This window comes from Homo sapiens, chromosome 10, assembly GCF_000001405.40.
Source record: "Homo sapiens chromosome 10, GRCh38.p14 Primary Assembly".
In the NCBI taxonomy this organism is placed as follows: domain Eukaryota; kingdom Metazoa; phylum Chordata; class Mammalia; order Primates; family Hominidae; genus Homo; species Homo sapiens.
The window spans coordinates 62000760-62016507 of record NC_000010.11 but is presented as its reverse complement, the minus strand read 5'-3'; the positions used below and the strand labels follow the sequence as shown (position 1 = coordinate 62016507).

At 40.1% G+C, this 15748-nt stretch overlaps 1 protein-coding gene across 1 annotated transcript in view; it reads right to left on the bottom strand.

Moving 5' to 3' along the window:
- The window catches only part of ARID5B (AT-rich interaction domain 5B), a 195246-nt gene that overhangs the window by 80437 nt on the left and 99061 nt on the right, over positions 1 to 15748 (bottom strand). The window lies entirely within an intron of this gene.

Sequence of the window (15748 nt, the reverse complement as noted above, 5' to 3'; positions counted from 1 at the left end):
TCAATTGTAAGATACACTGTTTGGTTCAAATTTCAATATCTCCAGAATTGGTGGCATCTCAATTGATGGCATTTTACAGTTGTTAATCAGCAGTGCTTTTTATTGTATATGCAATGTGGCACATATAAAAATGGTGTATCTTAGAAATGATGTCTTAAAATTTAATGAACCTCATTGGTCTATATCAGAGGTCAATACATTTTTCTGTACAGGGTCAGAGTGTTGGTATTTTCAGCTTTGTGAGCCATACTCAAGTCAGCTGTCATAGCACAAAAACAGCCATAGATAAGATGTAAGCGTATGAGTGTGGCAGTGTGCCAATAAAACTCTGTAACAGGCTGAGCGCTGCACATGGCCCGTGGGTTGTAGTTTGCCTTATGGACAGTAGGCTGCAAACAGCACACTGACCTATGAGAATAGAGCCAGCTACGTACAGTGATGGAACCTTAGCCGCAATGCTGAATCTCCTAAAGGCACAAACTCCACCATCCTCTGAGTCTTAGTCGAACAATTCACCTACGGCAAGTGCTCCACATATGCCAGATAAGGCTGAAGTGAATAACAGTGTTTAAATTCACACTGTTAGGCCAGGTACGGTGGCTCATGCCTGTAATCCCAGCACTTTGGGAGGCCAAGGTGGGCGGATCACCTGAGGTCGGAGTTCAAGACCAGCCTGGCCACTGTAGCGAAACCCCATCTCTATTGAAAATACAAAAATTAGCTGGGTATGGTGGTGGGCACCTGTAGTCCCAGCTACTCAGGAGGCTGAGGTGGGAGAATCTCTTGAACCCGGGAGGCGGAGGTTGCAGTGAGCCAAGATCGCGCCACTGCACTCCAGCCTGGGTGACAGAGCAAGACTCTGTCTCAAAAAAGAAAACAACAACAACAAAAAACCTCACACCGTTCAGAGGTGGAAAAGCAAAGACTACGCAGGTGAATTTGAAGAGTGTACTCGGTTTCCCCCATAGGAGCACTGCTGTATATATTTGACAAAAGTCCCATTGAGCTCAAGTCAGATTCTCATAATCATTATTTAAATGAATTAGAACAGTTGATAGGCTACTGAAAAGAAGCACAACACAACCCGTAAGAGCACTGCTTTGCAGCTTAAGAGCAGGGTTTGAATCCCAGCTCCACTAAAGCAGCTGTGTTGAAGGACTTCCTTAAACGGGTCTGAACTTCAGCTTTCTCATCTGTAAAACCAGAGAAGGTAACAATCCCTACCTAAGTATTATTGTGAAAATCGAGGAGATAATGAACATAGTAGGTGCTCAATAAATCCTAGAAAAATTTGGCTTCAATAAGCCTTTCGCTGAAGTATTTATCCTACTAACACTTCATTAAGTGGTTATCTCTTAGGAACACAAATTATAGGCACATAACAGTGCCTGATACATGGTATGCTCTCAATAAAAGGTATGATCTAATGTCATTATTTTCATATTTTCATGAATTAAAATTCTAAGGAAATGAGTTGTTCTAATTAATGAAGTGTAACGTTTACAGAGAATCATTGGAAACACCTTTTTTGTTTCATTGATGGAATGCAAGTATGTGAGAACAGAAAAGGTTCTTAAAGATCACCCAGTCCAGGAGTTCTTAATCTGAGGTTTCATATACCCTACAAATCCTGGAAAATAGATGCAGAATGTTCTGTATTTGCCTGACATGTCAATTTTTGCTAATGACATTGTTCAAAGCTATTATTATTTTTATTATGTTTGCATGCACTTTTTATGAGAAGATTCATAGCTTTCATCTGATTCTCAAAGGGACCTGAGATCCAAAAAAGTGCAAAAACCGGTCCGACATTCCATTTCATATATAAGACGTGGAGTCCCAGAGAGGTTAACTGAGTCATGGAAGCTCCCTATTTTGTATGAGGGTCATATTCAGAACATAGTTCTCCTGACTCCCAAATGCCCTTTCTAGTACACTGTGCTTTTTCTTAATTTCTTGGTAGTTAATAGCATACAGAGTATATACCTCCAAAATCAGGGCTTTGCACTTTTACCTAGCAAAGCCTTTTACCCATCTGCAACTACCCAAGGAACATACCCCCTACCTTCAGCCGCTACTTCTTACCACACGCTGCCTCCTGTCAGCACCAGCTCAACAGTTCCTCCATCACACCCGAACAGAAGCAATTATGGGAGGAGCTGGTGGTAACAATTACTTTGTCAACTTCCATTCTCCATTACCACTGCAACCAACTTCAACTTTAAGCATTCCTACAGTATTGAGTCTCAATCTTAAGTGTGCATAAAGTGTGATTAAAATATTGGTAACAAGGAAATGTAAATTAGTACAGCCATTATGGGAAACAGTATGGAAGTTCCTCAAAAAATTAAAAATAGAATTACCATATGATCCAGCAATCCCACTATTGGGTATATAGCCAAAAGAAAGGAAATCAATATGTCGAAGAGATATCTGCACTCCCATGTTCACTGCAGCACTATTCACAATAGCCAAGACTATGAGTCAACCTAAGTTTTCATCAAAGGATGAATAGATTTTAAAATAAAGTGTATCAAGGAAATGATAAATGCTTGATGTAATAGATACCGCAATTACCCTATTTCATCATTACATATTGTATCAAAGTATTACATTTTTATCAAAGTATCATATGAACCCCCATAAATATGTATTATTATATATCCATAAAAATTAAAAGAGAAAATGTGGTATATATATATATATATATATACCCAATGGAATACTATTTAGCCTTAAAAAAGAAGCAAATTCTGCCACCATTTGCAACAACATGAAAGAACCTGGAGGGCATTGTGTGGAGTGAAGTAAGGTAGTCACAGAAAGACAAATACTGCAAGATCTCACTTACATGTAGCATCTAAAAATGTTGAATTCCTAGGAGTAGAGAGTAGAATGGTGGTCACCAGGGGCTGGAGTTGGGGGAGTTGGGGAGATGTTGCTCAAGGGATACATAATTTCAGTTACATAAGAGACATAAGAGATCTCTTATTCAACATGGTGACTATAGTTAATAATGTATTCTTAAAAATTGCTAAGAGAATAGATTTTAAGTATTCTTATTACAAAAAAAGTTAAGTATGTGAGGTAATGCATGTGCTAATTACATCAATTTAGCCATTCCACAATGTATACATATTTCAAAACAACACATTGTACATGATAGACATGTACAATTTTTGTCTATTAAAAAAAGTGGGTTACATGATATTACCCATTCAAATTCTGAAGGTCTGAGGCAGACCCCAAGAATCAAATTTTTAGTAAGTGCTTCAGGAAATTGATGCACATGTGAAAATCACCGCCTGAGCTTACTTTCTTGCTTGTGCTCAGTATTCACTCAAGAAAATTTTTTCCTGTTGTGCTTTGGAGCCCAGGCGAAACTCTGGATCTTCATTCTGAGCACTGGTTCTCAGAAGATACCTAGGTCTACAGCAGGCTCTGATTATCTGATTTCTCTGCTATTGCTTGGAAGGAAAATAATCTTGGCAATAAGAGATTCCTAGAATCCATCAAGTGCTGATGCTTTTATGTATAAAGATGTTTGTTATAGTATTAATTATATATTATACATAACAGCAACAAAACAAAACTGTGGAGGAAACAATATAAACTTCTAATAAAAAGGGATTATGTAAACTGTGATCAATTCATTTTATGTAATATTAGGCAATCATTAAAATGGAGTTTATAAAATGTTTATAAGAATATGGGGAAATGTTTGCTTTATAATAACTAGAAATTTAACATATGAAATTGCATAAATAAAATGTTCTCAAGTAAATGAAAGTGCTTTTGAAAAAGACTGGAGGGAAATCGATAACACTGATGAGATGGCGGATGATGTTTAGGGAGGCAACAGAGTAGATAAGCATACCAGCTTTGAAGCCAGACAGACCTGAACTGGAATCCAGCTTGACCACTTACTAGTTTTGTGACTTTGGCTTATTTAACTTCTCTTTGTTTTTTAATAGAGACAGGGTCTCGCTCTGCCGCCCAGTTGCTTGGGAGGCTGGAGTGCAGTGGTGTGATCTTGGCTCACTGCAACCTTGGCATACCAGGCTCAAATGATCCTCCCACGTCAGCCTCCTGAGTAGCTGGGACTACAGGTGCGTGCCATCACTCTTGGCTAATTTTTGTTTTGTTTTGTTTTGTTTTGTAGAGAAGGGATGTTGCCCAGGCTGGTCTCAAACTCCTGGGATCAAGGGATCTGCCCACTTCGGCCTCTCAAAGTGCTGAGGTTACTTAACTTTTCTTAGCCGCTCTTTCCTCCCCTGTGAAGTGATGGTTAACGCGAGCTTCCTTATAGGGATGCTGTAATGATTAAGCAAGATAATGTATATAAAGGGCTTAACATAAGGCCTGACATATGGTACATGCTCACAGAAGAGTGGCAATTATTATTATTACTCTACTTGTACTTTTCGTAATAGAAATAACTTCATAATGAGAAAAATATTTTGAAAAACATATAAGCTGTTTTTACTATTTACTTTTTTTTTTCCCCTCCTTGAAATATGGTACTAAGGGGATGAAGGAGGGGGAGCATCTGGTTTATGGAAGATTCTGGTTAATTAGGGTTTGCTGTATATAATCACAGCTGTGATGCCGTGCCCTTCAGCACTGGGCCACATTTTGGGGGATGGCATTAAGAGCAAAGGCCGAGTAGCTGGTGCCCGAGTCTCACTGTGGTTTCCCCTTAGCTTCATTCACTACTCTGCTAACGTGTAGCCACAGACTCACCTGACCAGTTTCTTCAACTTCCTGGTGGGGTCAAGGACACTTGTTCTCCCAGTTCTACAGAGTTGTGCAGAGGCCAGAAGAGGTGGAGGTGCTCTGAAAAGTATGAGGCATCTTCTTGCATGTGCAAGACATTCCTCTTATGGCAAGACTGAGGGTGGGATGAGCAGTTACCAGGGTTGGGAGTGGCGGGGCCAAACTCTCCATGTCTCTGAGGCCACCTCCTCAGCTCCTATAGGTGACACTGGCACCAAGGGTCTGCAAGGCAACTTCCTGGGGCCTCCATAACAGTCCCTGGGTTTGTTCTAGTCCTGACACATTTCAATTTCCTCTCTTTCAACAGCTATGGGATAAAATGCATTCTCTAGAGCATGGTACTTGCAACTGTGCTGCAGAAAAGACAAATCTCAAAAGAACTAATTAGTACCAACATCCATTGTCTTTCTGAAGGGGTATGTCCTGGAAATGAAGCGGGACTCAGCTCCTTGATAAAGTCATGTTTCTGGTGTTGTGTGTAATACCCTTGTTAAAAGATTTGATCTCCTACTTCAAAGATATAATATTCATGCCTGGGACCGGACGAGGAAAGTGCCCTGCTGAATCCTGTGTGTTATGAACTTGCCTTTCTAGGATCTTCCATGCAACTCTCCCAAGAGAAGGCCTCAACTGTCAATCATATGCAGTAAGCCAGTGATCCATAAAGGATCCTTGGGGTATCAGTACCATCTACCAAGGAGTTTTCCATATGAGAATGTTATACTGGCTGAGCCTTTTTTACTTAACACTTTCCGATATGATTCCAGCCCAAACTGTGATCTATATTATATTCCTGACCCATAGAGCCACATTTAATTAGAAACCTGACAACGCCCTGTATGCTGTCAAGCAACCAGCCACTGTTTCTTGATTGGCCACGGCGAATTCTGGTATCTGTGTTACAAGTTGGAAAGGTTGTTAGTGACCTCTGGATACAGGCTACCATTTGTCCTGACTTAAGTACGCTCCTTGATTTTCTAAGGAAGACATCCTTCTAGGTTGTGCAGAACTACAAAGGTCTTTTAAGCATCCTAACAAATGAACAATCTTTAGCTAAAGACACTGACCAGATTACGAACAATGTCTCTTTGGTTTGAAAAGATAAATAAATATTGAGAAAAAACCCAGTTCTTTTGAGTTTGGCACTCTGCCTTGAGAATGAAATCAACTGGCAATGAGCTAAAGCTGAAAGACTGAGGTCACGAAATACTTATCCAGGAAAAGAGATAAGATGATGGAGATTTGAAGCCCTCTCGGATCTAGCAGAGTTTTCGTATCATTTCAACAAACATGTTGATTCTTACCCCCTCAAGGAGCTTAGAGTCTAGCGAAGAGAAATGCAACTGAAGCCATTAACTTTAATAACAGGCAGAGGGGGAAAAACATCTTTGAAAAAGTACTGAGTAACACATAAGGGACAAGAAGCAAAATGTTAAAGATGATTATTCTGAAGTGACTCTTTTAGCCTAGAAGCAGCCCATTAAGCAGCCAGGAAACCAAGCAGGCACCTCACTCCTTTACCACTGCTGCAAAATTGGTGCCTCTCTCCTTTTCTTTCTCATAGGCCCAAGGGAAGGATCCAATTTAATAAGAAACAAGTTGATTTTTCTTCCAAGAAACTTCCCCTGGGTTCTAACCATGATGGGGGTCTGTGAGAGGACTCACAAGTACTCACTCCCTCGGGGGAATATAACATCTTCTAGGAAAAGAAAAAGAGTTTTTGCTTGTGGAGGCTGCTTTTTGTCTGTGCAGAAAGCTAAAAATGGCAGAGGAAACAATCTCTTTGAGCTTCAAAGTCCAGAGTATTTTCCACCTCCTCACCTGAAATAACTTCCTCCTTTTTGTGTCCTTCAAGGTCCAGTTGAAGATCCATTTCCTCTAAGAGGCTTCCTCTGACATTAGGGCTCTCTTTTATGGATCTTTTAACTCCGGTGGCACCTACGGTTTGACCTCCTCACTTTGCCCTTAGCCAACTGCCTCGTAGTGTCTGTTATATGGCAAACTTTCCCATGGACAAAGCTTTGGCAGATATCCTCTCCTTTAAACTTCAAAATAACTCCTGACTCTTAGCTCTAGGCTTCTTGCATTTGTAGCAGAAAAGCATGCCCCTTGGGGTCAGTAGACCTGGGGGTGTGTGGGGTTTTGCTTTGCTAACCCCTACTTCAGCAACATGCCAGGTCTGTGACCCTTCAGAAGCTGTTTAACCTCTCTGAGGTCGCTCATGGGTAAAATGCAAGATTTTTAAGAGGATTACAAAGAACATTTGTAATGGCCTCTTGCTCCATGTCCTATCTCAGACAACTTGATTTTTCAGTTGTCTAGAGAGCAGACACTAGCATCCTAACAATGCCTGGAGTTCTGCCTTAAACATAGTTGGTGCCCAAGGAATGAATGTATAAGCACTCAAGGAGCATTAGAATGCACCAATCTTCTTCTGCTGAACACAGTGTGTTCCTTAGTCCTCCAAGATGGCACCTGGAGAGCCAAAACAGCCACTCTAAGGAGAGCTTTTAAGACACAGAATTTCTAGGCAACTTCCTAAGGGAACATAAAGCCCAGATGATGGAATCAAGGCCCACGCCAGCCAGCAATGAGAAGATTTCCTGAGCAGGCAGTACAGCTGGCTCTTGTGCCAAGAGCTTGGCTACTCTGCCTCCTTTGAAAACCCATTACCAAATCATGGCAAGCGAAATTTAATTTTAAAAAGGGAAATGATTTATGTGCTACAGAAATAAAAAAGTGACAGAAGCAGGAAAGCTTGCATACATTTCATTTTTTTGAAATTAGACCTATAATTTTTTCATTAAAGAATAATGCCAAGTTGGGAAAGCCAATGCATTCTAAGCAGAAAATCACGGAGAGGTGTATAATGAAAGTCCTGTCAGCATGGAAACCCCATGTCTCACAGAGTCCATGAGAACACAGAGCAGTTCACTATCTGCCCCCTTCAACTTCTAAATAGTTTGCACTCTTAAAGAGCCCTATCCTCATTTCTGTTTCTGTGATGAGATGGGAAGCCACCGGAGGTCTGAGCAGAGAAATGGCCGCTCTGGCTGGGGTGTTAAAAACAGACCAAAGGACAGCAAGGGCTGAGGCAAGGAGGCTGGCATAACAGAGATGAAGGGTATTGGTGGCTGGCACCAGGGTTTCTTGATTCCAGTCCAGTGGGTTTCAGATTTTGAATGCTTGTGATTATTCCTTTCCTAACCACTTCCCAACACGCCAATCTCTCTATTTAAATCCTACAAAATCTACTGTACATTCATCATCTAGAAAGCTAGCGATCAGTTATCTGTTTTCCATCAGCCTGATCTCAGGAAGTCTGAGAGCTCTTTCTGAGCAGGGTCTGGGCTGAGAGGCAGCCTAATGTAAAGGTGCAAAGAGCACGGACACTGAGCACGTATGCTGATTTTGCCAATTGCTGGCCATGAAATGTTGCTGTGCTTCAGTGTCCTTATCTGTGAAACAGGGGATAGCAATGATACTGACATACGCTATAAACGTATCCATCCATTCATGTAACCAATATTTACTACAGCTACTATGTGCTGGGTACTGCTCTGTTGCCTGCACACATGGCTGTGAATAAGACAGAAAATCCCTATATACATTTACAAAGAGCTTATGTGGCAGTGTGTGTGTGTGTGTGTGTGTGTGTGTGTGTGTGTGTTGTGGGGCGGGGGAGGTGGGTGGAGGGGGCGGGACAGACTGTAAACATGTAAAGAAACAAATATAGGAGTTAATTTCAGATAATGATGAGTTACAGAAAGATAATGACACACTGGGTGATGGGATAGAGCTGGGCTTGTGGAAGAGGGATGGTCAGAGAAGACTTCCCTGGGGAGGAGATATTTGAGCCAAGGCCCAAATGATCTGGGAAAGAGCCAGATCTGTGATATCTGGGGATATACATTCCATGCAGAGGGACAAACAAACAAGTATTTCTGGAATAAGCGATGTGGAATGATTTTTAATAGCAAATGACATACTTCATTTTCCCCAGCAGTCTGTATCAATATGAAATAATTTTGTGGGTGTTTTCTGAGGAACCACTACAGAACCAGTATGTGGTTAAGGTTGTGTTGGGTGCTGCAAGAGGCACAAGAAGGGTAGGTTAACAATGAGTACTTAAACAGCACTTACATGGACCATCTAAGTGCTTTTACTCATTAGCTCATTTAATCTTCACAATAGTCCTGTGAGGTCAATACCTGTGAGGTCAGGTCCACAGTTATCTCACATTTTGTCACTCCCCTTTCCACATACTATAAAAGTGGGAAATTTTCTGTCTCGTTCACAACTGTTGTCCTCATAGACCAGAACAGCACCTCACATATAATAGCTGTGGAATAAACCCTGGTTAAATGAATGAATGAATGAATGAATGAATGAGAGCCTATCATGTGTCAGGCACTGTAATAGGCTCTAAGCATCTCCACACAGCCTCACCTACAGTTCAAGGAACTTATATCCATCTAGTTCCCTGGCAGGACATAATAAAGGGGATTACAGAGAATCTTCATTTATCAAGGAGGCTGCTTAAGTCAAGCGAACATAGACTTATTCTGAATCTCTCTCCACCACCACTACCCCAGACCAGCACTTTTGCTTGTGATTTTTCAATGACCTGGTTCTTTCCTGCAGCATGTATGTTTTTTAATTGATAAAAATGTCAGTTTCACCCTAGAGAGAAATATGTTGATGTTGCTAATGTAATGGGATATAACTTTCTCGCTTTTCTAGATGAAATGCTAGGTGAAATATTAGTCAATATAGACACAAATCATTTCTTACGGCGTGAACAAAAGTTTATTGTACCCATGAGCCCAAATTGTTTTTAATAACCCATTGAGCCCACTCAGCTACAAAAGGTGTCCAGAGTTATTTTTAAATCTCCTTTCAAGTTCCAAAAACAGAAAAGAAATCCTCGAATCTTAGCCATTCCATATATTATGACTGTAAATTAATTTACAGTAGCAACACACAAAATTCTTTTCCCAAGAGAAATGATATTCTAGCTTCTGAGGCCTCTGCCCAAGGAGGTCTTCTCTCTTGCTCTACTTTTGTCTTACTCTCTTAGAAGCTGAGTCCATCTTTTAATCATTACATGTATCACGGAGCACATCCATTACACCTCTACCAGCACTGAGTTGGGTTTGGTTTACTATGCCATATGATGACCTTAAGGTTCTCCTTGTTTTCACTTTGGTAGCCCATGCAACAAGGAGAAAGTGCCAAGAGTGACTTGGTTAGACCATTATTTTGTTGTTGTTGTTTGTTTGTTTGTTTGAAACGGAGTTTTTGCTCTGTTTCCCAGGCTGGAGTACAATGGCGCGATCTTGGCTCACTGCAACCTCTGCCTCATGGGTTCAAGAGATTCTCCTGCCTCAGCCTCCCGAGTAGATGGGACTACAGGTGCTCGCCACCACGCCTGGCTAATTTTTGTATTTTTAGTAGAGAAGAGGTTTCACCACATTGGCCAGGCTGGTCTCAAACTCTTGAACTCTGGTGATCCACCTGCCTCAGTCTCCCAAAGTGCTAGGATTACAGGTGTGAACCACCACGCCCAGCCTGGTTAGACCATTCTTTAATGATAAACAAAACCTCTAGAAAATTTCCAAAACAAAGCAGTCCTCCAAGTAAGATCTCTGAAGGTTAAGGTCTTCTGCATAAACAGCAATATACAAGAAGCACAACTCCTTTTCTACTTAGCTTCAATGAAAGAAAAATGTCTGCCTTCTTATCATTTGGGAGATCAGTGGGCACCACAGGCAGGCAGAGAAAGTATGAATGTGGACAGGGGCCAGGAACAAAGCCATTTGGTCATCGAAATCCACTGTGACCATGAAACCTACTTCGGCAAGGAAAAAAATGTTTACTCACTTACAAATTCCCATGATCCTTAACAAAACAACTGCCTTTCATTTCCAGCAAAACATGTGATGTTCAGAAAGGAAGAGGCAGAGTCCAGCTCATCCTTTATGCTTCAAATTAATTTTATACGTCCTGAATTTCCTTTCATAAAAATTCAAGGTTTTGTCCCTTCATCTCTTCTGTTCTCCCCCTTTTCTTTTTCTTCTTTTGTCCATAATGTCATTATTTCACTCCACAGGAAAAACAGGACTGGAAAGTTCAGTACAGAGATAGAAAAGCCTCTTTAAAAACATACTGTAAAAAGTAGAAAACTCGTCTTTTCCATTAAAGTTCTATTATAGTAAGACCCCAGGAGCCTTAGGGAATTGGGTTCCTTCATGATTGAAAAACAAGATCATTTTGGATGAGTATGAGTTGTGCAAGACATATGACTAATAGAAACAGTAGAGAATCTTCATTTATCAAGAGGGTTTTTTAAAATCAAGTGAACACAGTCTTATTCTGTGTCCAGCAAGTTGGCTGTTATTACCCGATTTTACAGATGGGGCAAGTGAGGGACCTTATGTCACTTGCCCAGAGGCATAGAGAATCAGGTGGTTGAGCCCTGATTTTAAACCTGGGCTATTTGCCTGTAAGCTTAGCACTCTTTCACTATACCCTGCTGTCCCTCCTTTCTGGTCCCCAGCAGAATGTGTATTTTCATATTGACATAGCCAACCCCTTCTCCCTGAAGATCAGAGCTCATGGTGTCTACACATGGACCAAACAGCTGATGACAGGCCAACACACATCCCAATTGCCAAAAGACTCAGAAGCACAACTTCAACTTCTTATTCTTCTTTGCAATTCAAACCTCAGACCAAAATAAACTGTATCTCTTTTTTAAGTCAACCATTTCTTAAGCCATTTAGTACCACACACCTTGAATAATTGATTTCATCTCATTTATATATATTGAGCTGCCTTACATATCTTTGATGGAAGCCAGTACCTTAAAGTTATCCTTTTATCTACTGTACTGAGTGTGCCTCTGTTTGGATTTAGCTGTCAACACTTCACACATGTGAAATCAATCTGTGTGATATTAATGTAAACACTGTGCATTACAAAGTGGTGGACATTTTATTGTTCTAACAACAAAAATAGACAAAAATGTTTGTATGTGTTTGTTTTTTCTATTGCATAGGAAATAACACAATATAAATGACAGTATGCATTTTACAAAAGAGGAATCATTTAAAAAGGTAAAAGCAAGGTAGGGGTTGTTGGAGAATGCTTGATTCTCCAGGCTATTCTAACAGGACGGTGGAGGCAGGAATTATGCACAGAATAAAGATTCTTATGAAGAAAAAATTGCCATTCACATCACTTTCCCCACATTGGTCTTACAAGCTCATTTCCTAATTGCATGTGCAATACAATGAGTTTTCATAATGCTTTAATGGGGAGTCTGTTGCTTTCGTTTTAAAAATAGTCAATTCTCTTGTGCTAAGAAAAGAGCATATTGCCTTTAAGAGCAGTGTAACTGACAAGATGGAAGAATGCAAGCAGAATGTCGAGACTGAAGCTTTTCAATCACCTACCATTAATACGATTCAATTTATGCTTATGTCATAGGTTTAGACATTGCACAGCTCTGTAAGCAAGGAAGGGACCTGAATAAAATACAGTGAAGAAAGCAGATGGTATGCTATCAAAACCCTTCAAGCCTAAAATAACCTTTCCCAAGTAAGGAGGATAGTTAATTAAAACCAGGATATATTTACTCAATTCTGAATATCTCAATGTAAATAAAAATCAAAATGACACTACTGTAATGTTGGACTAAATGATGAAATTTCATCTATTCTATTTTTCTTTAATAGTTTCTAATCAAACTTTTCATTAAATAGCTTCATAAAATTCCACAGAGAATTTATTTACAGGGACTCATTGCAGATTTAAAAGCCTTACTTTCATTGTTCAATTAAACTTGTTATTCAGTGGACAACATTAAAACAGCAGTGGGGATTGGTGGGTGGGGAGCAGGGGTGTATGGGCAGTTGGGCAAGGTCATCCCATAATGCAAAGTCTATTTTCAGAGATGAATCCAGGGAATGCAGGTAAGCTCCACGGCACACAGAGAAAACTCAGACTCATTCCTATCCAAGATGGAAAGCCAGCCCCAGCTCCAAAGTCACAGCCTGGGTTCTTGCCAGGCTTGGTCACTGAGTCACATGTGTGTCCCACAGGTAGAGAGGACATCAGGCCATTTATGAAACCCACCCAAAGGATAGTGACTAGAGGCAGAACAAACCTAAGACAGATCAACAGTTGATCCAGGGTGAAGGCAGCCATTACCCAAAATGGGAGGTCAGAACATGAGTTTTAAACAATCTAGACATTTCCAATAGTTTTTTAAATTAGAAATGAGTAGTTATTAACCTGCTCCCTATCTTTTAAAACCAGATCAAACCCTGCCTTTTTCACGAGGCTTTCCCTGACCCCTCACCAAGATTTCCATCTCTATCCACCTCCCAGCCCACTGCTAAATTCCTACCACACTTGCTTTCTGCAACACTCATCAAATACTTAATCATTGACTTTCTTGTAACATTAGTTAACCTTTCAGGTGTGTTAATCCTGTCTTCCCCAATTAGATTTTAAATTCTCAAAACTAGCAAGAGCCAAGTTTTATTTACCTTTTGAACACCTCCTCCCACCCCCTACTCCATAATCGCATTTAATAGAAGAAAGCAAAAAGTATATTAGTTAATAAAATAAACATTATTCAATCATAGGAAAGCAAACAGTGTCCTTTTGAGAAGGGCCTTGGAGGTATTTTACAGCAATTTATGAATTTCATGTGTCAAAGGTGTAGCTGCTAAATGCTATAAACTCTTTGCCATCAGCTCTACCATTCATCCACCTGGTGATATGGCCAATAAAATTTGATTTTTACAGCCTAGGCATACTGTTACCTAAATTACATTTGACCAATTACTGAAGTCACCAAACGTGTGGTACAGAATATATACTGTGTAGAAAATTCATCTGTGGGCCCCCTGGCACTCTCGGTAATCTGACAGAAGTGTTTCAGTCATCTGGCAGTGTTTAATATTAGGAACATTTGTTTAATGCTAGTCACTAATTAAATTTATGTTCTTCCACCAACTGTTAGTTGGTTGGAGAAACTCAATGCCACATTTTAACAAACACTTTAACCCATGTCAATTTCAAATGCAACCAGTTGGAGATTTAAAAGGGTGCTCTTTGGAAATTTAGGTTGTGACCGAAAGTGGGACGGTGGGGAGGGATGTTAGTGAAGTTGCTCAAATCTGCTCAAAATAAGCTTTTTGGTCCACTTACTAACATGAAAGTCTGTAAGAAGTACAAACTATTTGAAGTACAAACAACTAAAAAATGTCTAATACTCTAATTATTAAACTAGCCATCTAGAAGGTCTCTAAAGGTACCTTTATTCCAAAAGAAAGCTTCCACTTTAAGAGGCTGGAGAAGAAAAACAGCATTAAAATTAGCTATACCAGAAGAAAGTTCAGGAAAACATTCAAAAGTCAGATGCTTGTTTTTGTGAGAACATTTAAAACTAATTTAGTAACTCTTAACAACCATTGTGATCGCTGTTAAATTGGAACTTCTTTCTATTACCAATTCTAGATCCAACAGCTTTGAAACTCAATGACTAATAATTCTTAAATTAACCAGAAAGGTTAAAACATTTTTTTCCTCATATTACGTTGTGAAACTCTAATTTTGAACACTCTTAAATGAGGGAACACATGCTTTCAGTTTTATTCTGTGTCAGGAATTTAGAGACCTCTTGAGCGGCAAGTAGGAAGCAACGTTTGGGAGCCGAGAATGTGGAAGAAAAACTCAAACACAGGTATTGAAAAGGGAAGATTTGTAAATGCTGATCTGAAAAGAGAGGGCATTGTAAAAAAATGTATTGCATACATTTATCTACTTGAAGTCAAAGGATATTTGAATACTAAAAATATGACAATAAATAAATTTCTTTGAAGAAGAAAAAATAAATACAAACAGTGTTGCCCTCTTACAGAATGACAGTCATTTGATAAGCCAGAGTTGTGAGAGATATCCAAAAACACAATTTAGAGGGAAAAAATGTCATGGCTCTTAGAATCTAATGGACTTAGATCATTTGGTTCCCCTTCCTCTCTCTGTCTTCCCTTCCTTCTTGATCATCATATGCCATCTCCTCATCCTCACCCCAACTCTGTTCACATAGCTACTTGCAAAATTTCTCTAGTAGCAGCACCAGGGCTGTTGGAATCATGAAGAATCAAATTTAAGAGGCCATAGTGGACTCCTGAAACCATACCAAGGTCTGCAAAGGATAAGCAGAGTAACCTGAATCTGGATAATCTGCCAACTAGTGATTCTCAGGAAAACATCAGCCAACAAAATCAAGGAATGTTTCAGTTCAAAGGGACCCTATGCTCTCTCCAGGCTAAGGGTCTCAACCTCTTCTTCACCCAGGTAGCCATGAGGGATTCAGCAGGGCTCAGCCATCCCAGCAGTCACTCTGTGGTAGTGATTCCAGAGAAGGGGTAGGGTGAGAGTGGTAGGGGTTCACGCCTCTAAGTATAGAAATTCCCAGGAACACAAGCAGTTTGATAAGGCTACCCCAGGGTATTCTGACATCCCTGCCCAGCCTGCTGAAAACCACTGATATGATCCAGTCTCCTCAACAAACAGATGAGAAAGTGATAATGTAAGAGAACGACTATCTTGGCTTGCATCTCGCCATCTACTGCACCGTGTAAGGCTTCCCAAACTGGTGATGTGATATCTTCTTCTCCTCCCCTTCTGTCTACATGTAGAGACACGTGACCAGTTAGCTAGGCAGAGATGCAGATTAAGATATGTATCCATCTTTGGTGGGCACAATGTGCGTGTACGTGTGCATGTGTGTGTATGAGTGTATGAAAAAATTCAGGACATGGATATCTATCACCTATCATCTATCTATCTATCTATCTATCTATCTATCTATCTATCTATCATCTCTCTACGTGTCTATCTACTGTACAGTACTAAAGTGGTTATCTATTTATCCACCATACAGTACTGAAGT